General features: G+C 37.4%; 1 protein-coding gene across 8 annotated transcripts in view; it reads right to left on the bottom strand.

Annotated features, from left to right (window-relative positions):
• The window catches only part of EML4 (EMAP like 4), a 163,196-nt gene that overhangs the window by 59,478 nt on the left and 76,110 nt on the right, over nucleotides 1–27,608 (bottom strand). For 5 of the 8 annotated variants that reach the window (XM_047443953.1, XM_006711992.3, NM_001410776.1 and 2 more), the window contains 6 exons: nucleotides 27,384–27,566; nucleotides 16,441–16,570; nucleotides 11,777–11,950; nucleotides 9,765–9,893; nucleotides 8,340–8,365; nucleotides 8,120–8,152 (listed from right to left, as the gene is read on the bottom strand). In XM_047443953.1, coding sequence (XP_047299909.1) covers nucleotides 8,120–8,152; nucleotides 8,340–8,365; nucleotides 9,765–9,893; nucleotides 11,777–11,950; nucleotides 16,441–16,541 — 463 coding nt within the window. In that variant the 5' untranslated portion in view covers nucleotides 16,542–16,570; nucleotides 27,384–27,566. The remainder of the gene's footprint in view (nucleotides 1–8,119; nucleotides 8,153–8,339; nucleotides 8,366–9,764; nucleotides 9,894–11,776; nucleotides 11,951–16,440; nucleotides 16,571–27,383; nucleotides 27,567–27,608) is intronic. The other 3 variants (NM_019063.5, XM_006711991.2, NM_001145076.3) reach the window with 3 other exon arrangements.

The raw sequence follows: 27,608 nt of genomic DNA, 5'->3' as shown, positions 1-27,608 counted from the left end.
GTCAAAATATTTAACACCCTGGCTCTGCTTTCTCAATTAACTATAGCAGGGAGGCAATCAGGAGGCCTCAGCAGAACATTAAAAACCTGTATATAAAAATTCTGATTAAACAGGATTAATGAGAAGTTTCAACTATAATGTTATTTCTTAAAATATGTTTGAAGGCTGTCCAATTTTTTAAAATAGAAACTATCCCAACTTCTAAGAACATGTTCTTGACATCCTCTTTCCTTATTTTCAGCGAAGAAAAAAGCCCCAGCTGCCTTCTCTGGACATCAAGTATATGACTTCATTAGAGAACGTTCTAATCTTATACGTATTTATTGTGGTTAAAGTCTTTTCATTCAAATTACGTGTATTTTTGCTATACACATACTTTTTAAAAAAAATCTAAACTAGAAAATGTAATTAACCAGAAATTTTTCAGTCTTCAAGTCTGCCAGTTAACTGAGTGAAATATTTTCATAGTTAGAAATCTGTGCTGTCCAGGCCGGGCACAGTGGCTCATGTCTGTAATCCCAGCACTTTGGGAGGCCAAGGTGGGCAGATCACCCGAGGTCAGGAGTTTGAGACCAAAACAAATGAAAAAAACCCCTGAATCAAATAAAGCAAAATGTAAAGATCTGATAAATCTGGGTGGTCAGTATACAGGTGCTCACTATATTATTTGAATATATTTTTAGAAACATTAAAATAGTTCACCAAAGTTTAAAAAGCATTATTAAAGGAAAACAATAGAATATTTTTGGTGAAACTGTTCTTTGGAGAATTGTGAGTGTAGTTCAGGGACGTGGCACAGGATTTACTATGCTTTTTCCTTGAAATCTTGGTATATGCCACTGATCAACCGCAACTCTTCCTGGCTACAGCTAATCACAAATTTTAGCATTCTTTTCAAAGTGCTTCTAGAAAACAATAACAATTACTAGAGTAAGAAATACAGTATAGAATATAACTGCCATTTTTGGACAGGGTTTTTTTTTTTTTTTTTTTGAGATGGAGTGCAGTGGTGCGATCTCAGCTCACTGCAAACTCCGCCTCCCGGGTTCAAGCGATTCTCCTGCCTCAGCTTCCCAAGTAGGTGGGGACAACAGACAGGTGCCATCATGCCTGGCAAATTTTTGTATTTTTGTAGAGATGGGGTTTTGCCATGTTGGCCAGGCTGGTCTCAAACTCCTGACCTCAGGTGATCTGCCCACCTTGGCCTCCCAAAGTGCTGGGATTACAGACATGAGCCACTGTGCCCGGCCTGGACAGCACAGATTTCTAACTATGAAAATATTTCACTCAGTTAACTGGCAGACTTGAAGACTGAAAAATTTCTGGTTAATTACATTTTCTAGTTTAGATTTTTTTAAAAAGTATGTGTATAGCAAAAATACGCGTAATTTGAATGAAAAGACTTTAACCACAATAAATACGTATAAGATTAGAACGTTCTCTAATGAAGTCATATACTTGATGTCCAGAGAAGGCAGTTGGGGCTTTTTTCTTCGCTGAAAATAAGGAAAGAGGATGTCAAGAACATGTTCTTAGAAGTTGGGATAGTTTCTATTTTAAAAAATTGGACAGCCTTCAAACATATTTTAATCTGGAAGACTGCTACTAACCACAACATTATGAAATCAGATCTTTGCTTTATAGGGCTTAAAAAAAAATCTCCAACAGAGGAAAGGTCCCCTTTTTTGGGTCTCCTTTTAAAATACAGATGGCGAGACCAGCGGCCTGGCGGGCCTGCTGTCCTTGGCAGTGCCTTCTCTACCCTCTTAAATAAAATAAATAAAAATACAGAGAATACTTGGACAAAGCCCAGATGTAGGGATCCAAGTTATGGTTATACAGGTTATTAAAAGGGACAGTATGTAAATTTTAGAACTAGCCAGGCACAGTGGCTCATGCCCATAATCCCAGCATTCTGGAAGGCTGAAGCAGACGGATCACTTGAGCCCAGGAGTTCAAGAACAGCCTGGGCAACATGGCGAAACCTTGTCTCTACTAAAAATATAAAACTAGCTGGGCACAGTGGCACATTCCTATGTGCCAGCTACTCTGGGGGCTGAGATGGGAGGATCAACTGAGCCCGGGAGGTCAAGGCTGCAGTGAGCTGTGATCATTCTACAGCATTCCAGCCTGGGCAACACAGTGAGACCCTATCTCAAAAATAAAAAAGAAAATACATAGGTTTTAGAATTAAGTATGTGTCTCCACTGGAAATGCATTGGTCTTCCGTCCTTTCTGTTTATCCACACTCAACAAACTTCTTCCTAAATTCGGGAATTGCCAAGTTTGGGATACCACCTTGGTAAAAAGGAAAGAATCTGTCTGTAGTTCGATTAAAGGCTTTTGACTTTTTTCATTTGTTTCAAACTGCACACTCTCTCAGTAAATGACAATATACACCCTCTCAATAGGTGACACAATATACAGAGTCAGCAGGACACCGCTATTATATATCTTTATCGATAAATTTTAGCTATTCTTTCAGATACAATGCTCAGTTTGCACAGGTGTGAACAGATTTTAGGACTAAATGTGCCTGGAGCCAAAAGGTCAGAAAACATAATGCAAGGCTCTGAACAAAAGCACCTGCATTCAAGCCATCCTCCCACCTCAGCCTCCCAAGTAGCTGGGACTACACGTGTGCCACCACGCCTCGTTAATTTTTTGTATTTTTGGTAGAGATGGGGTTTTGCCATGTTGCCCAGGCTGATCTTGAACTCCTGAGCTCAAGCAATCCACCCACCTTGGCTTCCCAAAATGCTGGGATTATGGGCATGAGCCACCCCACCTAGCCTTTAAGTTCTTCAAAAGGTAGTTCACAAGCAAGTTAGTGAAGGTATTGTGGGGACAGGAGGCAACTGTCCTTCCTTTCCTGTTTGCTCCAAGAAAAAGCTTTCAGAAAGTTACCAAAAAGACCTTAGTGATATCTAATCTAAGCCTAAATATGTGTAAGGAAACTGAGACCCAAAGTCTCAGGGTAACAGGAAAAATTTTATCAGACAACAATGTTTAGTTTTCTAAAATCATTTCCTTTAGCAAATGGAATTTTCAGCTTCTCCCAAAGTTATGAGTTATCTAACTCATAGTGTAGAACTGTGATTCTTTAATTTTCTGTGATACAGGTCATTTTACCCCTAACTAGGTCTCATGTTTACTACTCATTTGCCCTTTCTGCTATATCACTTTGCTTCCCTTTCCTGCATGAGGTACCTCATGAAACTTCTCTTGCTTGGAATGAATCTGTATTTTATAAATGTAATTGCTAAATAATACAAAATTGTATGTACTCTATGATGAATGACCTCCTTGCTATTCCTTAATAGAGCAAGAAAGTTCCTGCCTAGAGGCTTATATACTTATATACTTTTATGAACGGCTTCCTCTGTTCATAAAATCCTTTTTACAGTTATCTACATACTTCATATTTCATTCACTTCCTTCAGGTCACCATATCAGAAATGTCTTCCCTAACTACTCTATATAAAATAGCAATTCTCTGCTCTCCTTATTCTTTCCTCATATATATCACCTTCCTGACATATGAAGTATTTATCTGTTTTGTCTATGGAGCATGAATGTAAGTTCCACACAGTTCAACACTGTAACTACTGTAACTCTGAATGCCTAGGATAGGGTCTGACAAAATAAGCACTCAGTAAATATCTGTTAAATGAATGAATGAATGTATAAAATGTATATCTGATAAAGAACAATAAAGAAACACATCAGAACTGTAACCTGTTAGAATGACAAGATTATTCAGGGTTTTTCCTTTCCCCAATTTTATAAATGAGTTCGTTTTATTTATTTTTAAATTATTTGATAAAGCATTTGGCTACAATAAATTACTGAGGGATTTTAGACAGTATATAATTCAAAATGACTTTTCAAGTATTTTTAATCTGAAGCCATTTTTGGACAGGTAGCTAACAGTCAATTACTTCTCAATTTTCTAAGATATTATAACTGTCCTTCCATTTTGATATACCTGTACAGTTAGGATATCACTGTACTGAAATGGTAAATAACAATGAATCTAATCCTAGAGCAGGGAGGCAGCACAGTAAGAGGAAGACTTGGATTTAGTGATTGATGACTTCCTTTTTCCTCAAAATAAGCAGATTTCTTTCCAGTAGAGATCTGAGTCATTCAGTTTCTCAACATGACCAGGTAATTATGTGTTAAATCTAAACAGGCCTAGTTTGAAGTTCTACAAGAGAAAAATTAAATTTAAGATTATTCAAGTCTGAAAAAAACATTTTGAGGACATTCAGATTCTCCTCCAGAAATAATGAGATCATGTGACACTTATTTTCCATCTCTAAAAAATGTAGGCCAGGTGCGGCGGCTCACAGCTATAATCCTAACGCTTTGGGAGGTAGAGATGGGAGGACTGCTTGAGGCTAAAAGTTTGAGACACGCCTGGGAAACACAGTGACACCCTGCCTCTATAAAGTAATACAAAAATTAGCTGGGTGTTGTGGTATGTGCCTGTAGTCTCAGCTACTTGGAAGGCTGAGGCAGGAGGGTCACTCAAGCTCGGAGTTCAAGGCTGCAGTGAGTTATGATCGTGCACTGAACTCCAGCCTCGGTGGCAGAGTGAGACCCTGTCTCTAAATAAATAAATAATAAATTTGAAATGAAATAAATAGTTGGTCCCTTGGTTTCCATGGGACACTGGTTCTAGGATCTCCTGCAGAGAGCAAAATCTGTGGATGCTCAAGTCCTTGATATAAAAGGTATAGTATTTCCATGTAATCTATGACTATCTTCCTGTATACTTTAAATCATCTTTAGATTACTTATTAGTTGTTATATTGTATTGTTTAGGGAATTATGACAAAAAAAAGTTTATACATGTTCACCACAGATGGAACTTTGTTTTCCTTTAATATTTCGAATGCAGGTCGGTTGAATCCAGGAATGTGAAATCCGCAGATATGGAAGGCCAGTTGTACTTGATAACTATTTCAAGGATGACCTTAATGGCAGTATCATTTTGTTTATTAGAAAATTTGTCAAATTGTTATCTATTTTCCACAATAAGCAATTTTATACATGGTGCCTGAAGTCCCCCAACTTAGCTTGGAAAATTTTTTAAAATCAGTAACTCACCAAAGTGAATATTATTGTACTACAACCTAACTGCTACCTCTAACAATAGATAGTCCTACATGGAACTTATTCAAATTTTAAGTTGACATGCTAGGACTTTATCTCTGCTGTATCTGGAGCACAACCCAGCAGAACTAGGGGAGAGAGTAATGAAAAAAAGTTTAGGTTTCAGGGTATAAACATATAGGTCAGTAAGAGCCTCTTTTTAGTGGCATAACCTGCCCTTCCTCTCACACCTAACCTCAGAGATTGCCCTGCGTACATCTCATTTCACTTTCTATTGCTTTCAACAACCAGTTTCCTGACTTCTGCCTAAGTGGTGACTGGAATATGCAGCTTTCTAGCTTTTCTCCTACTCTGCTCTGTCTGAAGGACACAGGCCTTTCAGGTAAAGTATTCTCTGTTACCACTCACCTAAATGTACCATATGTAAATAGGCTTCTTCTCAAATCAAAGCAGATGATTTGGAACAAGCCACAGCTATCATTGTCAAAAAGAGGCTAAATTAATGTCATATTTTAAAAAGAATGTCAAAAAATGACAAATATTAGCATTAATAGCTGAAATACTAGAAAATGTGTTGTGAATATGCCATGCAAAATGAATACCACACTTCTAAAATAGCTATACAACTTACAGTCAATGACTCTCACCTATTTAATAATTATCTTTTCATCTGATAATACAAATCTGAGTGCAAGGTTTTACTGCCAAATTCATATATTAATAACTAAAACTTACCTGGTATTATATGTCAGGTACTGGGTACACTTTATTACTATAATTTTTACAGTAACCCTTTAATGGCTTATTATTATCTCAGTTACAGATGAGAAAACAAAGACTTAGGGAGGTTGAAGTAACCTGCTCAATGTCACTATAGCTAAGTCAATGGTAAAACCACTCTCTGGACTCCAAAATCCATGTGTTTAAACATCTACATGACATTGTTTGCTATACATCTCTACATGTAGGTTAAGTTTTATAGACAACTCAAATGCAATTGTCCAAAGCCAAACTCCTTTTCCACACATCTCCTTCTCCTCAAATGTTCCCTATTTCAGTAGATGCCACTATATTTCAATTTATATTTCATATATATTATTTCATCCTTCAGTAGTCATGTGAAATAAGCTTTATAGTTACTATATTTAGAGTAGAAAACCACTCAGAGACATTGTCATTCAGCCTAGGTCATAAGGCTATTATGCATAAGAGCCAGGACCAACCACTAAACACAGTTATTCCCCATTCACTGCTCTTCCTATCACATACCGCCGACTCTATTTAAAAAAAAAAAAAAAAGTTTTCGGACCAGAAGTGGTGGCTCACGCCTGTAATCCCAACACTTTGGGAGGCTGAGGCAGGAGGACTGCTTGAGCCCAGGAGTTTGAGACCAACCTAGGCAACAAAGTGAGACCCCATCTCTATGATAAATACAAAAATCAGCCAGGTATGTGGTGCGCGCCTGTAGTCCCAGCTACTTGGGAGGCTTCAGTGAGAGGACTGCTTGAGCCCAGGAGGCCAAGGCTGCAGTGAGCCAAGGCAGTGACTGCACTCCAGCCGGGGCAACAGAGCAAGACCCTCTCTCTTAAAAGTTTTGATATATAATGTATTAAGAATTATCTTCATAAATAAAATTTCATTTTTCCCTTTAAAGTATCTCAAACATTACTTAATCTATGTTGTATTATAAAGAAGGGAGAAAGTAAGACCTACTAAAGAAGAATGCCAGCAAAATTCAACTTCATTTAGAATGTCTATGTAAAAACAAATGACCTAAAGACTATTACAAATATTTCTTTCTTTTCTTTTTGGAACGAAAGAAGTAAAAATCCACAGAAATCAAGTTAAATCTCTAAAAAAAGCTTTAACCACGTTGCAGCTGGTTACTATAATAGAACAGAAAATAAGGCTAACTATGAAACATAGAAATGAGCTGTGAAAACCATGCACAGAAAGGACGTGCTTTCATTAAGAACAGCATGCTTCAATTAAATTTGCAGGCAATCTAAAGAGAATGTAAAACTGATGTATAAAACTTACCTACAGTGCAATTAAATTAAATACGCATTCGCCAAAAGTCTGCTCTCTTTTTTTGGTCTGAACAAGCCAACAACAGCAAGTAGCCAGAAGTTACAATCAATATAAAAGAAAAACTTAAGAGGAAATGGATTTGCTAGACTCATCATATTTTCAGTCTTAGCATCAAGAAATGAGTGATTATTTGCAATGAAGTTGGCAAGACAGGAAACTGAGTTAAAATTTATCAATCGTTTATTTCTAGGTAAAACTTTTTTTTAAGGGAGAAAACTCCCTCTAGTATTTTATCCCTTTTTGTAATACTGTATTTTTACTGTTCACCTTGAATCTTCAGATTTCTTAGAAATAAGATGGATTTTTAAAAATGCAGCCGGGCCAAGTGTGGTGGCTCATGCCTATAATCCCAGCATTTTGGGGGGCTGAGGCGGGAGGACTGCTTGAGGTCAGGAGTTTGAGACCAGCCTGGCCAACACGGTGAAACTCCATCTTTACTAAAAATACAAAAATTGGCCGGGTGCCATGGCTCATGCGTGTAATCCCTGCACTTTGGGAGGCTGAGGCGGGCTGATCACCTGAGGTCAGGAGTTTGCAGCCAGCCCGGCCAACATGGTGAAACCCCGTCTCTACTAAAAATACAAAACAAACAAACAAAAAACACCAAAAATTAGCCGGGTGTGGTGGTGCCTATAGTCCCCAGCTACCTGGGAGGCACAAGAATCACTTGACCCCAGGAGGTGGAGATTGCAGTAAGCCGAGATTGCACCACTGCATTCCACCCTGGGCAACAGAATGAGACTCGGTCTCAAAAAAAAAAGTAAAATGTAGCTGGATTCATCTAGCTCAAATCACTGTATTTCCTTTTTAAGGAAGAAAGTCAGGCAGCATAAATAATAAAAAGCCAAATAAGAGATCCAGGAAAAAATTCACTTAGAAGGCAACCAACTGCGTAGCTTATTCTTACCTTGGCTGTTTTTTTCGCGAGTTGACATTTTTGCTGGTTGAGACAAAAATGACATTACCTTACAATAAAAACTGGGTTTTTTCCTAAATGACTACAGTAACGCACTTTTCTTTGATTACTATGAACTGATAAAGTGCACTGGATGAAAATATTCTTTTCAATTAGCAAAAATTAAACTAAGAAGGGCAAAATAAAATTTTTAAAAGGATTTTTAATTTACCTTGGTTGATGATGACATCTTTATGCCTAGAAAAGAAATTTAAGAAACACATTTATTTTATAAGTTTATATGGCTAACCATTAAAATCACCTCAAGAAACTGTAAAAGTTTTAATGCTTAGGCTATAATCTAGATAAATCTCTGGAAGTGAAAGTAAGAAATCAGCATTTTTTAAAGTTTCTCACTGATGAACTACTAATATACACTATTTTATAAAACAATGAATATCCCACAAGAGCATCTAAACAGTGAAAGCATAAAAATAACTTATGAAAAATACTCAAATCTTATATGATTATTAAGATTTATTATTTGGCTGGGCACAGTGGCTCACACCTGTAATCCTAGCACTTTGGGAGGCTGAAGCAGGTGAATTGTTTGAGCCCAGGAGTTTAAGACCAGCCTGGGCAACATGGCAAAACCCTGTCTTTACAAAAAAATACAAAAACATTAGTTGGGCATGGTGGCACGCGTCTGTAGTCCCAACTACCCAGGAAGCTGGGGTAGGAGAATCACCTGAGCCCAGGAAGGTGAAGGCTGCAGTAAGACATGATAGTGATGGTGCCATGGCACTCCAGCCTGGACGACTGAGACACTGTCTCAAAAAAAAAAAAAAAAAAAAAAAAAACACGTATTGTTTGAGTTGGGAGCCTTAAAAGGTAGATACAACTTTTTGTAGAAGACTTGAAAGAAAACATACACCAGGCTGGCACGGTGGCTCACGCCTGTAATCCCAGCACTTTGGCAGGCCAAGGCAGGTGGATCACGAGGTCAAGAGATCGAGATCATCCTGGCTAACGTGGTGAAAACACCATCTCTACCAAAAATACAAAAATTAGCTGGGCGTGGTGGTGCACACCTCTAGTCCCAGCTACTCGGGAGGCTAAGGCAGGACAATCGCTTGCACCTGGGAGGCGGAGGTTGCAGTGAGCCAAGATTGTGCCACTGCACTCCAGCCTGGCAACAGAGTGAGACTCCATAAGAGAAGTATAAATTATAATACAGAGTTTTTAAAAAGATTCAAACCAAGGCCAGGCGTGGTGGCTCACGCCTGGAATCCCAGCACTTTGGGAGGCGGAGGCAGGCAGATCATGAGGTCAAGAGATCGAGACCATCCTGGCCAACATGGTGAAACCCCGTCTCTACTAAAAATACAAAAATTAGCTGGGCATGGTGGCACGTGCCTATAGTCCCAGCTACTTGGGAGGCCGAGGCAGGAGAATTGCTTGAACCTGGGAGGCAGAGGCTGCAGTGAGCCAAGATGGTGCCACTGCACTCCAGCCTGGCGACAGAGCAAGACTCTGTCACAAAAAAAAAAAAAAAAAAAAAAAAAGATTCAAACCAGACATACATAACTGTACATGCAAACATAATAGCCAAATAATTATTACTTTTCAGATATAATGAAGAAAGTGCAATACTTACTTGTCTGCAGTTTTGGTAACTTTTGGTATTAATTTGGGTGTTGAAGGTATTTTCGACAATTTATTACGGCTATCATCTGAATTTTCCCAAGAATTATGTGACTTTTCAGCTGGTGATGGTCGTTTTATGCTAGAAGGAACATTAATTTCTTAGAGAAAAATTCTGAGTATCAAAGACATGTAACTGACAATTTAAACAGAACACAAAAGCAGCAATTAACATTTCCTTAAAGCTAATCCAGAAAAGAGAAGGATTAGTTGAAAGACTGCCTGGATGAGTGAAGGAGTTAAACAAGGCAATTCCCAAATCTGTATTATAATTTTCTGTATCACTCAGAAGATTCACTAGAACAAATATTACCTGATTTTTTTTAAAAAACACTTTTGTTAACAGAAAAAAATTATTTCCTTACATCTGAGTAATGTTTCTTATAATTTGTAGTTACAAAAAAACCTGTATTTTTTCATAGCCATTGAATTTTATAAGGCTGCCATTTTCATTTTTTGTGCAATTATGTCCTCAGGTAATTACATTACATATGGTACAAATGACAATTTCTAAATATAACAAGGTATAAACTCTTGTTTATATCTTTAGGGACAATTTTACCAATGATCAGAAATAAACAAGACTTTATATAAGAATGTGGTTATTGGCAATCCTGATTCCCTATACTTATAAGTGAAATTTGTTTCTTTACAAATGATTTTTTCATTGCATTGCTAACTATCCTCAAACTCATCCAGTCTCCAATACTTCTTGCAACAGTATATCCAAAGAGCAATTTAGGAGGGCAAGCACATTTCCAGGAGACCTCAAGAAGCTGAAAAAAAGATGCTGGGACAAAGAAGATATCAAGTGAAATCAGAACCTTAAAGAGACTGATTATAAAAAGCCACCTTAAACCACACACAATCCAAAGTTATGTAACGTTAATAAGCTATATCCAAGAAAAACTCCACAGGAGACCAGGCAGATAAACTACAAACCATTTAGATTGGGTAAGAATCTGCATGAGACACACAGACAAAGCATTTTGTAAGTGGTAAACATGCATCGATCAAGTGAAGGGTATTTTGGTTTTCCCAATTTCCATTAGCGATTTGAGGCAAAATATTAAATTGATCAAATAAAAATTTAAATCTTTTAGGAATGGTTGTCATTTATTTTATTAAAATTCTAGCCAGTTCTGGAAATGGTTTAATAGTTTCCTAAGATTTCCAAGCAGAAGTACGATGATAAAATATGACTATTCCTAATCACAAGGCTTGAATAAGCATTTCTAAACAGGCAAATTTAATTAGATTGGTCTCAATATTTGATTAGGAGGCAGCTGTAGCACTGTACTCCCAGCATGCAGGTTTAGATTCTCAATTTAGGCTCACACACATTGTTAGAATATTTCTCCCTTTTCCCCTTCTCATAACTTTAAAATATTAATTATTACGGACACAGAAGCCCTCAAGCAAGCCTTTAGCATAGAAAAGACCAGGTGAAATGGATTCATTTCTCTACTCAAGCAAGAACTTATCCTCCCAAGACCCAAAACTGAAACTGAGATGCAGCCACAGTGAAGAGCCACTTGAGATGGGCCCTTGCAGGTTGAAGGTTGTAATGATGCCAAAATACAGTGAGGACAATTACATATGGCCATTTTCTATCCATGGCTATAAATTTATGCATAGTTACATACATATTTTAAAAGTATTCAAAAATGTGGTTAAGAAAATATTGTTTGGTTTTCGACTAGGTTATTCCTGCCTTCTTTTCATCAGATTGTTTATAACTTAGTTTTTTTTTTTTTTTTTTCCAGTTTTAACTGAGAAATTGTGACCTTAATTCTTTATTCCCCAATGGGCTATAAAGCATAAATTATAAGCAATGAAGAAGGGAAAAATAAAGCCACCAGCTTTTTCTCTCAGAATCCTTGGATAGCTAACTTTTTCCCAAGTCACAGAATTTAGGTATCATTACAACCATTCCCTAGCTCTGTACTTGGGGACAGTTAAAACCTTTTGGTGGGAGTAGCATTCTTGCTTTCTGGAGTTTGTCTGTGTATTTGGAGAGGTTGTGAAGAGGGCTGGGGAGAAGGTGATGCTCGAATTTGTGGACTTTGATCATTAGAATGAGATTCCTCTTTTTTTTCTCTCTGTCCTTGTGGTTTTTCTTTCTTTTTTTCTGTACCACTGTAAAATAAAGTATAACATGGAACAATACACATTTAAACAAATGAAAAAAAATCAAACGATAGAAAAGTGATTATTATATAATTCAAAACCCTAAGTCATACAGCTAATACAATTTGCACTGTTTTCATTCAATAAGGACAATATTTCTTTGAAAATTCCAGAAGCTATTAACATCTTCAGTAAAGAATTTATAAAAATTCTAAGGCGATACACCCCATGAAGATTGCCCCTTTAGACAGAAATGGTCTCTAATAAACTTTGCCATCTTGGCAGATTTTGGGGGACAAATGAAGGTCTCTTAACTGACCTCAAGTTACCCAAATCAGAGGACTATCTGTGTAAAGCATACCGACTGATGCCAAAAGAACACTAAATATTCATGTTTAATAGGTTATTCTCCAATTCCTGTTTTTTTTCTGTATACTTCTACTCCACTCAATTGAGTTTTAAACTTACCAAGAGTTTAAGTTTTCCCCAAGTCTGTTTATGCCAGTTGTTATTTTAATTATGTAAGTTAATTAAATACAAAGAGAATTGCAATTTCTATGAAAACTAAGTTTAATGTTCTAGAAAGACTACAAAAAAAATGAGTTATCAAAAAAATTGCTGTTAAATTTAGTGTGAGTGACACAATTTAAAAAATCACAGAGGCGGCTGGGCGCACTGGCTCACGCCTGTAATCCAAGCACTTTGGGAGGGCGAGGCAAGTATCACCTGAGGTCAGGAATTCAAGACCAGCCCAGGCAACATGGTGAAACCCCGTTTCTACTAAAAATACAAAAATTAGCTTGGCGCAGTGGCATGTGCCTGTAATCCCAGCTACTCGGGAGGCTGAGGCAGGAGAATCACTTGAGCCAGGGAGGCGGAGTTTGCAGTGAGCGGAGATTGCACCATTGCACTCCAGCCTGGATGACAGTGCGAGACTCCATCTCAAAAAACAAACAAATCACAGAGCCCGGGTGTGGTGGCTCACACCTGTAATCCCAGTACTTTGCGAGGCCAAGGCAGGAGGATTACTTGAGCCCAGGAGTTCAAGACCAGCCTGGGCAACAAAGTGAGACTCTGTCTCTTTAAAAAAAAAAAAAATTGGCCAGGCACAGTGGCTCACGCCTGTAATCCCAGCACTCTGGGAGGCCGAGGTGGGTGGATCACGAGGTTAGGAGATCAAGACCATCCTGCCTAACATGGTGAAATCCCGTCTCTACTAACAAATACAAAAAATTAGCTGGGTGTGGTGGTGGGCGCCTGTAGCCCCAGCTACTTGGGAGGTTGAGGCAGGAGAATGGTGTGAACCCAGGAGGCGGAGCTTGCAGTGAGCCGAGATTGCGCCACTGCACTCCAGCCTGGGTGACAGAGCGAGACGCCGTCTCAAAAAAAAAAAAAAAAAAAAAAAAAGAAAGAAAGAAACAAAATCATAGAAAGAGAGATGCGTTCTAACATACTCTTCTGCCAGAGTTTTAAATTTCTTACTCCTTTCATTTCTGAGAAATGAAACTAAAAATTTTAGAAAGTTATTTATGGATATATTTTATGAAAGACAGTCAACAAGGAATTTGATCAGAGATATATACTTAGAGGGTAGGTTTGGTCTTTCATTTAAAAAGTGATGAATGAATACAGGTGAATGTATCTTATGTTAAAATATTTCAGATATTTAAGTATAAATTCTTTTGATTATGTACTTTGACTCTTGGTTAATAAACCACCTGCTATTCCTAACCAGACTGGATAAGCATACTTATACTGAAAACACTCTTGACAATATTATAAAGCTGATGGAATCAAGACTTGAATTCCAGTGATGAAAAGGTAGGAAACTACTAAATGCCTATTTCTTTTCTCTGCCGCCCCCCTCCCCCTGTTTTTTTTTTCAGATGAAGTCTTGCTCTGTCATCTAGGCTGGAGTGCAGTGGTATGATCTTGGCTCACTGCAACCTCCATCTCCAAGGTTCAAGCAATTCTCCCACCTCAGCTTCCCCAGCAGCTGAGATTACAGGCGCCCGCCACCACACCCAGCTAATTTTTACATTTTTAGCAGAGATGGGGTTACACCATGTTGGCCAGACTGGTCTCAAACTCCTGACCTCAGCTGATTCGCCTGCCTCAGCCTCCCAAAGTGCTGGGATTACAGGCGTGAGCCACTGCATCCGGTCCCATTTACATGTCTTTCTTAATCAAAGGACATTTTGTAATTCGATTATAATCAACAAGTAAGCTTGTTCAAGAACATTTTAAATAAATGTACATAGTATATACAATTTATCACATTATAATAGTTTAAAATGTTATAGATATTTTAATGTCAAGTGACATTTCTTAACCTGATGCACTTCTGATAACTTCTGACTTCAGACTGGCCCTTGACTATCTACTTTGTGTTCAATTTTTTTAAAAGCAGGTGCTAAGAAATACAATTTTGGCCAGTCACAGTGGCTCACACCTGTAATCCCACCACTTTGGGAGGTTAAGGCGGGCGGATGACCTGAGGTTGGGAGTTTGAGACCAGCCTCACCAACATGGAGAAACCCTGTTTCTACTAAAAATACAAAATTAGCTGGGTGTGGTGGCGCATGCCTGTAATCCCAGCTACTCCGGGTGCTGCAGCAGGAGAATCTCTTGAACACGGGAGGTGCAGGTTGCGGTGAGCCGAGATTGCGCCATTGCACTCCAGCCTGGGCAACAAGAGCAGAACAACATCTCAAAAAATATATATATATATATCTTAAAAAATAAATAAAAAAAGAAATACAATTATACTTCAAGAATATCAGATTAACTCTGAAATTAAAAAACTGAGTTCCAATATGTCCAACTCTCTCAAAAACAAAAACAAAAAACAGAAGTTACTTCTTCCTTGCGATTCTTCAACAAGATTACAGAGGTCACTAGTTTTATGTGGGCCCAGTACAACCTAAAAGAGCCATTTTCCTTCTGGGTTATTTAAAAGCAAAATACAGGGACCCTGGATCATAAACTAACAAACTCAGCTGGCCTTGGATTGTTGAATCACTAATGTGCATAATACTGATCACTACACAGCAACAAGCAACAGTGCAATAGCTATGTAAGAAAATGGGCTGAATCTGAACCACTACTGGATACAACACGGAAATTTATTTAAAATTGTACTAAAATTTTCTAACATTTTCTTAGTTTCCCTTTTTCTACTCAAAGTGGAGTACAGGTAATAAAGTTTAGCATCCTTTGTAGGGGAAAGTCTAGATTCTGTAATGACGACGACAAAGATTGAGTTCCAGAAGGAATTTTTTTTTTTTTTTTTTGAGACGGAGTCTGGCTCTGTCACCCAGGCTGGGATACAGTGGCGCAATCGTGGCTCACTGCAAGCTCCCCCTCCTGGGTTCACGCCATTCTCCTGCCTCAGCCTCCTGAGTAGCTGCGACTACAGACACCTGCCACCACGCCTGGCTATTTTTTTTGTATTTTTTAGTAGAGACGGGGTTTCACCGTGTTAGCCAGGATGGTCTCGATCTCCTGACCTCGTGATCCGCCCGCCTCAGCCTCCCAAAGTGCTGGGATTACAGGCATGAGCCACCGTGCCCGGCCTCTAGACGGAATTTTTAAAAGGGCTGAAGATCTTGGTATTTCTTCAACATTCTTGTCATCAACTGTTTGGTTAAGTATCTATGAATCCACACCAATGAATAATTCGGTCACTAGCATTAGTTTATTGAGGTAAGCATTTTCCATCAGTACATTGTTACACATGATCTTATTACTTAAGATTTTTCCTCACTCATTCTTTGAAGAAAACGGTTTTAAGATTTTGTAGCTGATCACCTATGGTCTCTCCAAACTCTACATCGAATAATTTGCTAGAAATTACAAAAGGGGGAAAATCCTGTGAGCACTTTTATTGGAGTAAATTAGTTAACTGATGAAAAGAACATAAAGAATGCAAATCTGTAATCCACTGAAACTTATATTGCTGTAATTCCACAGCCCTCCTGCCCACCATCCCCTAACACACACACACATACACCCCCACACACCCCAGATAGTACTATATTTTTGAAATAAGCCTTAATTTTATAGTTATGGTTAAAAAATAAAAGTTATAATAGCATTTGACCTCCCACTAACATAGATATATCGAAGATTCTGTTTTGCCTTTAAAAATGCTGTATCAAATATATCACTTGCTATGGAAAATTCAGTTATATAATTTCTTTAAATATAGTGATGCTTTCAATAAATACTTGTTACAAAGAAACAAAACAAAACCAGGAAATGAAACTGCTTTCTTTCTTTAGTGAGAACGGAAAGCTTCCTCACACAACTTGACAGGCATGATGAGTGCAAGCTGAGTGAGCACAGGCTAAATGTCTCTACTTTCACAGTTTAAGAATTCAAAGGACATGCTCACTTGAATTCAAACAGCTCTATTTCATATTCTTTCTAAAGGGAGATCTCTACCACATTCAGACAATTCTGCAATGTTAGTTTTTCCCCCTTTCATAAATGGGTACCTTTTAGCAGCAGATGAAAGAGTTTCTTTTCCTGCAATTGAGACAGCACTGGTATGACTTGGTTTTCTGTTTGCACCACTTCCATTGGTTATACAGGACATGGGAATAACTGCTCGAGGGCTTGGTTGGCCTAAAGATAATTAAGGAAAAAAATTATATCAAATTTGAATATATTCCTTAAAGATCTAAATTTTAAAATTAAGTCCATTTGGAAGGAGGGGGTGGTAGAAAAAAAATTAAGTATATTATTGTTTATAACTCTTGAGCAGAATGCCCCCATGGTATGCAGCACATGATACTGTCTCAAGACTTAATCCCATCGAAACAGACCTATAGGAAAGCCATACTAATTTACTAAAACACAGTTGGGCTAGTTCTCTTAGCTAAATGGTTTGCTTTACCACACACAGCAGCCTTATAACACATGATTCAAATGTGTGCCTCAAGTAATCCATAAATCCCATGCCATCAGTCTTCAAAAACAGCTTGTTAAAACCATAAATTTTAAATCCTAGAAACCATAAATATTAAATTCTAGACTGTTACTCCATACAAATAAAGCATAAGTATATAAAGTTAACCTCTCCTTTAACTTACACAGTACATATACAAGGAGTGGAATAAATGTGTGACTGGTATATTAGTGTGGTCAGAAGACACAACATCATAAGATAAAACAGTCCTATCTATACTAAGAGTCAAGTAAAGATTTGGGAATAGAGAACATTTTTATTTTTTAATTTTTGGACTCAGTTTTCTCACGTGCACACAAGTAATATCTAGTACCTTAGGAAGTTCCACACATGGTGGTATAACACTGCATTTTTGTCAAGAATAAGATGTTGGAGGTCATTTGTGTCATAATCACCTAACGTGCTTCCTTAATATAGATTCGTAAGTCCTACATTAGATTGAATGAATTAGAAGACAGGAAGCAGGAGACCTGCTGCATTTATTTTTTGAAACCTCTTAAGAAATTTTTTTTTTACATATAAGTTACATTAATCCTCAAATTATGCAAATATCACTGGTCATCAGATTTAGTTCTAGTACGTCAAACAAGTTACTTATTGTTATATCAGTAGCTTTTTAAAAACTGTGGTAAAACAGTCCTAAAATTTATCATTTTAACCATTTAAAAATGTAGAATTCAGTGACAATTAGTATATTCACAATGTTGTGCAACCATCACCACTACCAAGTTCCAAAACATTTTCATCACCCCAAATAGAAACCATGTATCCATTGGCTGGGCGCGGTGGCTCAGCCTGTAATCCCAGCACTTTGGGAGGCTGAGGTGGGCGGATCACGAGGTCAGGAGATCGAGTCCATCCTGGCTAACATGCTGAAACCCTGTATCTACTAAAAATACAAAAAATTAGCCAGGCGTGGTGGCGAGCGCCTGTAGTCCCAGCTACTTGGGAGGCTGAGGCAGGAGAATGGCAGGAACTTGGGAGGCGGAGCTTGCAGTTAGTGGGGATCGCACCACTGCACTCCAGCCTGGGCGACAGAGCAAGACTCCGTCTCAAAGAAAAGAAAAGAAAAAAAAAACAAAAACCGCGTATCCATTAAGCAGTCACTCCCTGTACCCTACCCTCCAAAGAAGCCATACCTTGTTTGGCTTCTTTTATATAGTACAATGTTTTCAAGGTTCACCATGTTGTAGCACATATATTTCATTCTTTATAACAGAAAAATATTCCACTGTATATTTTGTTTTTCCATTCATCTGTTGATGATCATCTGGATTGTTTCCACCTTTTGGCTAATGGGAATAGTGCTGCCATAAACATTTGTGTAAAATTTTTCATATAACCACCTGTTTTCAATTATTTTGAGTATATACCTAGGAGCGGAACTGCTGAGTCACGGTTGTTGTATGTTCAACTTATTGAGGAACTGCCAAACACAGTGGCTGCGCCATTTTACAATTTCACTAGCAATGTATGAGGATTCCAATGTCACCATATTCTTGCCAACACTTGTTATTTTCAGGTTAAAAAAAAAAAAAAACTCAAGAGGGTATTAAGTGTTACCTCATAAGTTTTGGTTTCACTGATTCTATTGTTTTTCTATTCCCTACTTCCTTTATTTTGCTCTAATCTTTATTTCCTTCCCTCTAGCAAGCCTTGGATTTAGTTTTTTCTTCTTTCTTAGTCTTTTTTTTTTTTTTGAGACAGAGTCTTGCTCTGTTGCCCAGGCTGGAGTGCCATGTCACAATCATGGCTCACTGCTGCCACGGCCTCCCGGGGCTCAATCCATCTGTCTACCTCAGCCTCCTGAGCAGCTGTGACTACAGGTGCACACCACCGTGCCTGGCTAATTTTTATATTTTTTTCGTAGAGACAGGGTTTTGCCACATTGCCCAGGCTGGTCTCTAACTCTTAGGTTCAAGCAATCCACCTGCCTCTGCCTCCCAAAGTGCTGAGATTATAAGCGTGAGCCACTGTGCCCGACCACCAATTACAGGCATTTTTACCGTTCTTTTACCAATGCCTCAAATGGCATAACAACTTCAATTGCTCAAACATTTTGCCCACTTTAAGAATGGGCTTCCTTCTTAATAACTGAGGCATATGAGTTCTTCAAATATTCTACATAAAAGTCCTCTGACAAATACATGTCTGGCAAATATTTTCTCTTATTCTATAGCTTGCCCTTTTATTTTCAAAACAGTTTTTGAAAGAACAAGATTTTTAAATTTTGATGAAATTCAATTAATTGATTTTTCTCTTATAGCTTATGCTTGTTTGTGTGCTACTTATGAAATCTTTGTCAAACTCAAGGTCACTAAGATCTTTCTTACATAAGTTTTAGCCCTTACATTGAGGTCTATGATCCATCTTGCTTAATTTTTGTTTATGGCGTGAGGTGAGAGTCAAGGTATTTTTGTTTTTTGTCTTTTTTTTCCCCCTGGCATATGACTTTAATAACTCGAATTAGGGTTGAAATAACTCTTGAGCAGTCTGCCTAGCACACAAAAAGTACTTAATATCAAAACAACTAAATGGATGCATCTTCACTACCAAATTTCTCTTTTGGATTATGTTGAGTTTATCTCGAGTCTCTCTTCTTGCAGTTTTACCCTACACTATGGCATCGCTACACTGTGCCAGAATGACCTACCACATGCTATGTATCTTTAAATTTAATGCCACTAACTGTAATATGCCCCATTATTTTAAGTACCATTAGAAAGAAGTATTTCCTATTAGAACTGTAAGACACTATCAATTGTAATATGCATCGTAATTTCAGAGATGTTAAAATGTCAAAAACATAGGCATCTTGGACGAATTACTATAAATCTGCCTGTCAGTCCTCAGCTTAAGATTCTTTAGTGGCTCTCCACTACCTTCAGGATGAAAACTAAATTCCTTAACAAGGTGTAAGAAAACCTTCCACTATGGGCCCTACCAGTCTAGGTTCATTTCTTGAAACTCCCAATCTTACACCCTATGCTTCAGTTTATTCTGAATTCCTAAACTAAGTACTTTTTATTCTTCTGCACTTCTGCACCTGGATGATCCTTCTCTCCAGCATATGCTAGTCACCTCTGCTTGCCTAAACTGTAACGTATTCATCATCCATGCACCAATCAAATATTTACTCAGGACCAATTATAATCCTACTCTTATGTTTACAAACATATATAAGGCAGTTACTGACATCAAGGAATTCAAAATCTTCAAGGAGAATCACATTGGCAATGAAAACGTGGTAAGTACAGTAACAGAGAGATATCAATGGAGTATCATGGAAGTGCAAAGAAAGGACACATAATTCTATAAGGATTAGGGACACAGAGCTCAAGAAAGGCTTCCTTGAAAAAACACAGAATAAGGCCTTAAAGAATAAGAAAGAAATAGACAGCTGAAAGGGCGGTGATAAGACAATGGGATCCTATTGCAGTATGTGTAAAGGAACAGAAACACTCTAACAGCAAAGAGAGTGTATGTATTTGCGGCATTGAGTGGGTGGTGGTGGGGAGACAAAAAGCTCCTTGATGTGGCCAGCACGTAGAACAAAAGAGGGGATAGTTCACAGAGAGGAGTTAAGTAGCATTCAGATGATGCAGACTTTATCTATAAAGAATAAAGAACCACTAAAGGGTTTTAAGCTGAAAAGCAGAGTTCAATTTACATTTTAGAGAATACCCTCTAGTAGCCATGTGAAGAACTGATTTCAGGGCAGTGGTCTGAGAATAAGATGGTGGGGACCAAGAGCTATGTAGCGTGAATGAAAAAGTGAAGGAAGTTTTAAGAATCACGGTGGAAACCATCATAATGCCAGGATGAAGGTCAATAAAAACTTTTACACTTGATCATGACAAAAGAATGCTATTCACTATAGTTTACACTCCTTAATGACAGACTCAAGTAGACGACCTTACTGACATCTTAGCCTGACAGTTCCTAAATACAAATAAATTTCAGTGTACTGTATGTAGACTAACACAGTAAAGTTATCACTAAGAACTGCCGCATATTCCAAAGCTCAAAATCTGAAATCCTTCTTGCTACTCCGGTACATATTATCTTCTTATTCTTGCATCTATCCCAATCTGTCTCTCTAAAACTGTAATTTTATCACAACTTCCTGTTTCTATAACTAACTTCTTCTGGCATTCAATTTACAAACAATTTATTGATTTGTAAATTGAAATTGTTTCTCAGCTAGCCTTGGGATGACTATGTTAGTGACTGTCCCTGCTTTCAAATAGTGTATCACCTAGTGGGAGCAACAAATATATATGCCAAAAGAGAAGTACAAACAAAAATTTAAAATAATTCCAAAATGTGCCAAAAAATAGATCATTTTCAGGAAATAATTTCTGAGGCCTTTAAGATGGTTACAGTTTTGATCAGAAGGGTAGAGATAGTCTAGTTGATATCCCAAATCTTCTATTTATCTTGAATTCTCCATCACATGCCTCATGGCTCCAACTGTATACATACTTCTTCCACTCCTCATTTTCAGGCTCTTCGTCACTTTTCTCAATTGGCTGATTACTCTTGCTTCAGTCTTTGAGAAGATTGAGGACTACATGTACTCCATCAAATTCTATCTTCTCCATTTGGAATTTTATCTGTATACTTCTACCTTCCTCTTATTTCACAGGAAGATGTACCCTTAGGCCTTTCAACTTGTGGCCACTACTTAAAAGTATATTTTGAGTGGAAGTGACAAAGAAGCATTTGACTCTCATATAGAAATGGCACTCTGTAAACAGTAATTGTTACCTGGTCTGAGGCAACACCTGCCAATATACAGTCATGCACTGCATAATGTCTTGTTCCACGATGGACTGCATATACGACAGTGGTCCAAGAAGATTCTAATACCCTATTTTTACCATATCTTTTCTATGTTTAGGTTTGTTAGATATACATATACTTACCATTGTGTTACAACTGCCTATGTAACCTAGGAGCAACAGACTATACCAGGGGTCCCCAACCCCTGGGCCACAGACTGGTACCTTTGTGGCCTGTTAGAAACCAGGCCAGACAGCAGGAGGTGAGAAGCCAGAGAGTGAAGCTTCATCTGTATTTACAACCACTTCCTATCACTTGCATTACCACCTGAGCTCAGCCTCCTGTCAGATCAGTGGCGGTATTAGATTCTCATAGGAGCACAAATCCTATTGTGAACTGTACATGTGAGGGATCTAGGTTGCATGCTCCTATGAGAATCTAATGCCTGATGATCTGTCACTGTCTCCCATCACCCCAACATGGGACCAGCTAGTTGCAGGAAAACAAACTCAGGGCTCCCAACGATTCTACATTATGGTGAGTTGTATAATTATTTCATTATATATTACTATGCAATAAGAATACAACAACAAATGTAGTATGTTTGAATGATCCCAACACCTCCCCCCACCCACCCCAGTCTGAAGAACAATGGTCTTCCATGAAACCAGTCCCTAGTGCCAAAAAAGTTGGTGACCACTGGGCTATGCCATACAGCCTAGATGCATACTAGGCTATACCATCTAGGTTTGTGCAAGTACACCCTATAATGCTCAAACAAGGAAAAAAATGCCCAATGATGCATTTCTCAGAAAGTATCCCTGTTAAGTGATGCATGACTATACTTCTACACACAAAATAATCAGACACTCCATCATCCCCTTCCACAATTACTAGTCATTTTAGCGTAAGGGTCCCACCAAGGCAATTCATACCTTCCTAAGCTGATGGAGGTAATGTGCTTATCGATAACATTTACAGCAAACCTATGATAATCCCTGAATCCTCCCAAATGTTATTTGGACCAGGAGCTGAATGATACAAATCTGTGCCTTTAGAGTATCCCAGATTTTACATAATTAGCAATGTTTCTTTTGGAGAACTGACCCCTATATTTCAATTTTGCCTTTGGGTTCTTTCGTTTCTCAAGTGGCAATTACAATGCTTCACACTTTGGCTTAACCAGCAGTTTCCTGGTTTACATGACTGACTGCCAACTTCAGATAAATTTAACTTTTTAACTTCCGTATCATTGTGTACTAACAGTTTGTCTTCACATAATGCCACTGGGCTGTGTTCTCAAATTACATTCATTTGGTCACCTCAAGAGGTCCTAATGAGTTTCCCAGGCACCAGCTGTGACATAATTCATCTTCTTGGCAGCTAAAACTTCCAGTGTTCTCTGGGCCTTCCCTTTTGCTCCGAAGTACAGGTAATATTTTTTTCTTTTGGCAGGGATTCAGCTGCAACTGGTGCATATATTATGAACACATGCCGTCAAAAGGAAAGAATTCTCTGACAGAGGAGAAGGTATATGAAAAATTTAAGTGACTGGCCACCTTAAAAACTCATGGGAAAATTTTCTACCTCAGTCAAGTGTCCTGCATAATTTACTCAAGAAAAAAATGGGGCTTAGCTTTAAATACTGCTGGCACACTGCAGAAGATAAACTAAGACAACGAAATATATTTAAAGGTTAGGTGTGTTTCTGATTTTGGTATTTACTGAATGGCAATACTACTATGAAGCAACGTAGCAGAATTTCATTAAGCCCTTAGCACACACATCATTAGCATTTACTTTTGGTCATATCTGATGACAACTTATGTCCTTCCCATATCACCACCATCTAGCAAAACCATAAAATAGCTCTCTTCAGTAATAGGGAAGTTGACTTGTCCTTTGAACCACAGCTTCATAAAAGGATTCTACCCTATTTATCCACAGGAATTTAATTTGACCTCTAAAGAAAAATCCTCTAGAAAATGTAAACACCTTAAGATGATAATGATCATTTTCCTGTCAATAAATTATGTGATACTCGATACTATAAATTCTAATTTCACAGGGGCTAAAAAATCACACATAAAACTGTCTATAGTATAAAAAATGACTTTACTTTTTAATTAAAGAAAAAATACAAATCCCTACAAGATAATTTCATTTTTAATGTTATGAAAAACTTCATTTATTTGAAAATACTTTGCTTAAAATGTTTATTCCAAATTTTCTTACCACTAATTTATCAATCCTGTTTAATATCAAAACTGAGATGATCTATTTTAGGCTGTACACAAATGTCAATAGTGAAGAGTCACTTAAATTCCAATTGCTTTCAACGATATGCTATAAATAAACTCCAAGATAAAGCTGTTCAGAGTTGCCAATAACATTATGAAACTTTACATATGTATTTCTCTCAATGTCTTAATATCACTATTGGAAACATAATTAGTTGGACATATTTTTCCACTAAAGGAAAATACAGTAATTAACATGAATTATGCTCATCTATGAAATAATTATTTTCTCAAATTATTATATAATCAATACCCCCATCAAACCATTTCATAAACTGCCTGTGTTCCAGGTAACAGAGTAACTCAAAGAATGAACCATCTTAGCATATTATAAAATAGCAAAGTTAATTATGAAGTATAATTTAAAAATCAATTGGAAAAAAAATCTCTAATTAGTAAGGTTATTAAAAAGAATTAAGTTAGTGTTATGTGAAAAGAAAAAGTTCCACAGAGATGGTTCTGTGGCTCCAGAAAAAGAGCCATTAACCAAACTGATCCTAGACTCACTTTAGAGACATAGGAATTATGACTAAGGATAATTAGAAAAGGACCAGAAAGGACAACTTACAGAAAATAAGTTCCTGGGGAATAGTAATTATAGCTAGTTAACTGTATTTATATTTCATGACATTGAGAAGTAGGTGCTAAATAACTCATGTGTCATATAAAATACTGTGTATATGCTGGGAAAAAAGCAATTTTTAAATTTCTTTAAAATATTTCAGAATTTTCTTTACTGAAATACCTTAGTAGATACAATATGAGAGAAAATATCTTTAAAATTTTTCTCAATTTACATAAAATTACAATGCACTGTTTTTTCAGCATATTAAAAAGACTTTGGAGACCAAGGTAGATCACTTGAGCCCAGGAGTTTGAGACCAGCTTGGGCAACATAGAGAGATTCCGCCTGTACAAAAAAAAGAAAAGGTTTTAGCAGGGCATGGTGGTGTACACCTGTAGTCCTAGCTACTCCAGAGGCTGAGGAATGAGGACCACTTGTGCCCAGCAGTTTGAGGTTACAGTGAGCCTGGGTGACAGAGTAAGACCGTGTCTCCTAAAAAAGTTTAAAAAAACTAATATAAACTATTTAAAATAAGCTTTTAAAAATGTGAATAGCAATCAAACATCGTTATCATTTTCTATTATAGGTTTTAAAATACTTATATGTACCCTCGGGTTCTGAGTCTGTATATTATATATAGGAAATTTGTTCTTCCCTCTCTATACAAAGCTTATATTCCCTATAAAGCCCATATACATTAACAGATCTAGCTCCTTATCCTACTCTAAAAATCCAAAATCCTCCTATAAAAATCAATTCATAACCAAACAAAATTGTTTTCTGGCTTGATCTTGGCGGTCCTCAAAGTTGACTCTCTAAATAAATAAATAAATAAATAAATAAATCAAGCAAGCAAGCATAATATAACACTTTATTAGTCAAAGTGGTTTTTATCAAGTCTTTTGCCAAACCCTCAGGCCCCTTGTCCTTTGTCATTGACATATTTATCTCACTATCACTAATGAAAAAGATCAATCCTTTCTTCCATCTAACTCTCCACTGTAAATACACAGACCCAGAGTACATGAGGCCAAGAGGGAAAAGAGTGGGAATCACAAAACCGGGCAGAATGATACTCACCTTTCCTCCACAATAAGTATCCCGCCTCCATAGCCTCAGGGTCTCTCAGCATCTCTTTCAAATGTCTACGGTCTTCCATTCTCCGCTTTAACCATTTCAAACATGCATTCTCTTTTTTTCTACCACTGACGACCTATCTTTGCACCTAAAGGTTATCATTATCTCGATATATATTCACAGTTATCAGGGCTAGAAGTTGTGGTTCTCAAAGATCCCTTCTCAAATTCTCAGGACACTTGCCTCATCAATTACCACCCCATTTCCCCGTATTGGTCTTCCTCTCTGCTGCCTTTTTGTCCTCAACCTATCTTTGTGTTCAAGTCTATCACATATTTTTAACAAATTTTAAAAAGTAATTAAAACTGGCCTTCAACATAGCATCCTCTCCTAGCTATTACCACCGTCTTCCACTCAGGTGAATTTTTTGAGAGTGGCTATATTTGTTGCTCTCAATTCTACAATTATTCTTAATTGCTGCTTCTCAAAATACTGGTATTTGATTTGCAGTTCTATTACTCCACTAAAATTGCTTTTGGAGAGGTTTCTAATATTGCTGTAAATGCCGAATCCAATGGTCATCTCTCAGTCTTTGTTTTATTTGACATCTCTGTAAGCAGCTGGCAATGTGCATCACTTTTTGTGCTATGCTGAAATGTTGGAGCTCCCAGTGGAACTATGCTGGACTGCCTTCTCATTTTACATCCTCTATGGCTTCAACTATCATCCATAAGAGGAACATTCCCAAATTCTTACTGCTAGCCAAAACTAACATGAGCACTAGATCCATATGTAATTCAGCTACCAATATGTATCTCTACATACCATATACACCCTAAACAACATTCAGAAACTGAATTCACAATCTTTCTTCTAAATCTGCTTCTCATTTGCTGGTTGGCTGACTGCACTATCTCCTACTCAGCTAGAATTTGGGAGTTATATAAAACTCCTCCCTAGGTTAATAATTTACATTGACATCGAAGTAGGAAGGCAAGCCAATAAATGTCCTCACTTTTCCCACTGCCAAAATGGGCATAATCACGCCTATCCCCATATACTCTACCAATAAATCAGTAAGAGACATCAAATGATATGTTCAAATCTTGATTCATGTGAAAGAATAATAAATTCTTTCTTGGTGGTTGAAGTAAGGGAAAAGGTACACTACATCTGCTCCAAACTCAGAGCAACAGGGTCTTGACGACTGTTTGTCTCAACCTTGAAAACTCCCAATACTGGAAAGTTAGAAGTCCCATTATACTGGGCTCGTAAGCTTCAGAGCTTAAATTAATTTTTTCAGGATTCTGCTAACAACCACAGAGGGTTCAGAATAAAGCTATTTAAACTATGATGATTTTAATTATGTTTCTGTATTGACAACAGAATTTTAAGAACACATGAGTGCCTACCACCTATGTTCAATATGAAATGAGAGACACAAAACGATGATTCAGTTCCTGCCCTGAGTAAACTTATCATCTAGTTGGAAGATACTAACTTCACACAAATACTGTAACATAAAAAACCTGTGAGTATAATCAGTGGATTACACAAAAATTCTTTATTTTAAATAATAAAGAATAAACTTTCAGAACTTTTTGGGAATTAAAAAAACGAAATGGAAAACAAACTATAATCACAAGTAATCCACATAAGAAACTAGTTTTATATTTCCAGCTTCAACTTTCAAAGAAAATATTGCAAAAAGCAAGACTCTTTTTAACTTTACAACACAATTACCTTTACTTGAGACTGATTTTTTCACTGAGGCCACATGATCTTCAGAGATTGCAAGACGCCTCAAAACATCAGCCAAAGCCGCCTTTAGCACAGTGATTTCATCTTCTTGTTGCTGAACTCGTGACTCAAGAGCTGACAGGCGATCTTGAACATCAGAAGTACTTGCAGCAGAAATACTATCATCTATAAAATAAAATAAAATATGGAATATTTTTAAGTAAACTG

Source organism: Homo sapiens, chromosome 2 (assembly GCF_000001405.40).
Source record: "Homo sapiens chromosome 2, GRCh38.p14 Primary Assembly".
In the NCBI taxonomy this organism is placed as follows: Eukaryota; Metazoa; Chordata; class Mammalia; order Primates; family Hominidae; genus Homo; species Homo sapiens.
The sequence above is the reverse complement of the archived record's forward strand: the minus strand, read 5'-3'. Positions and strand labels throughout refer to the sequence as shown.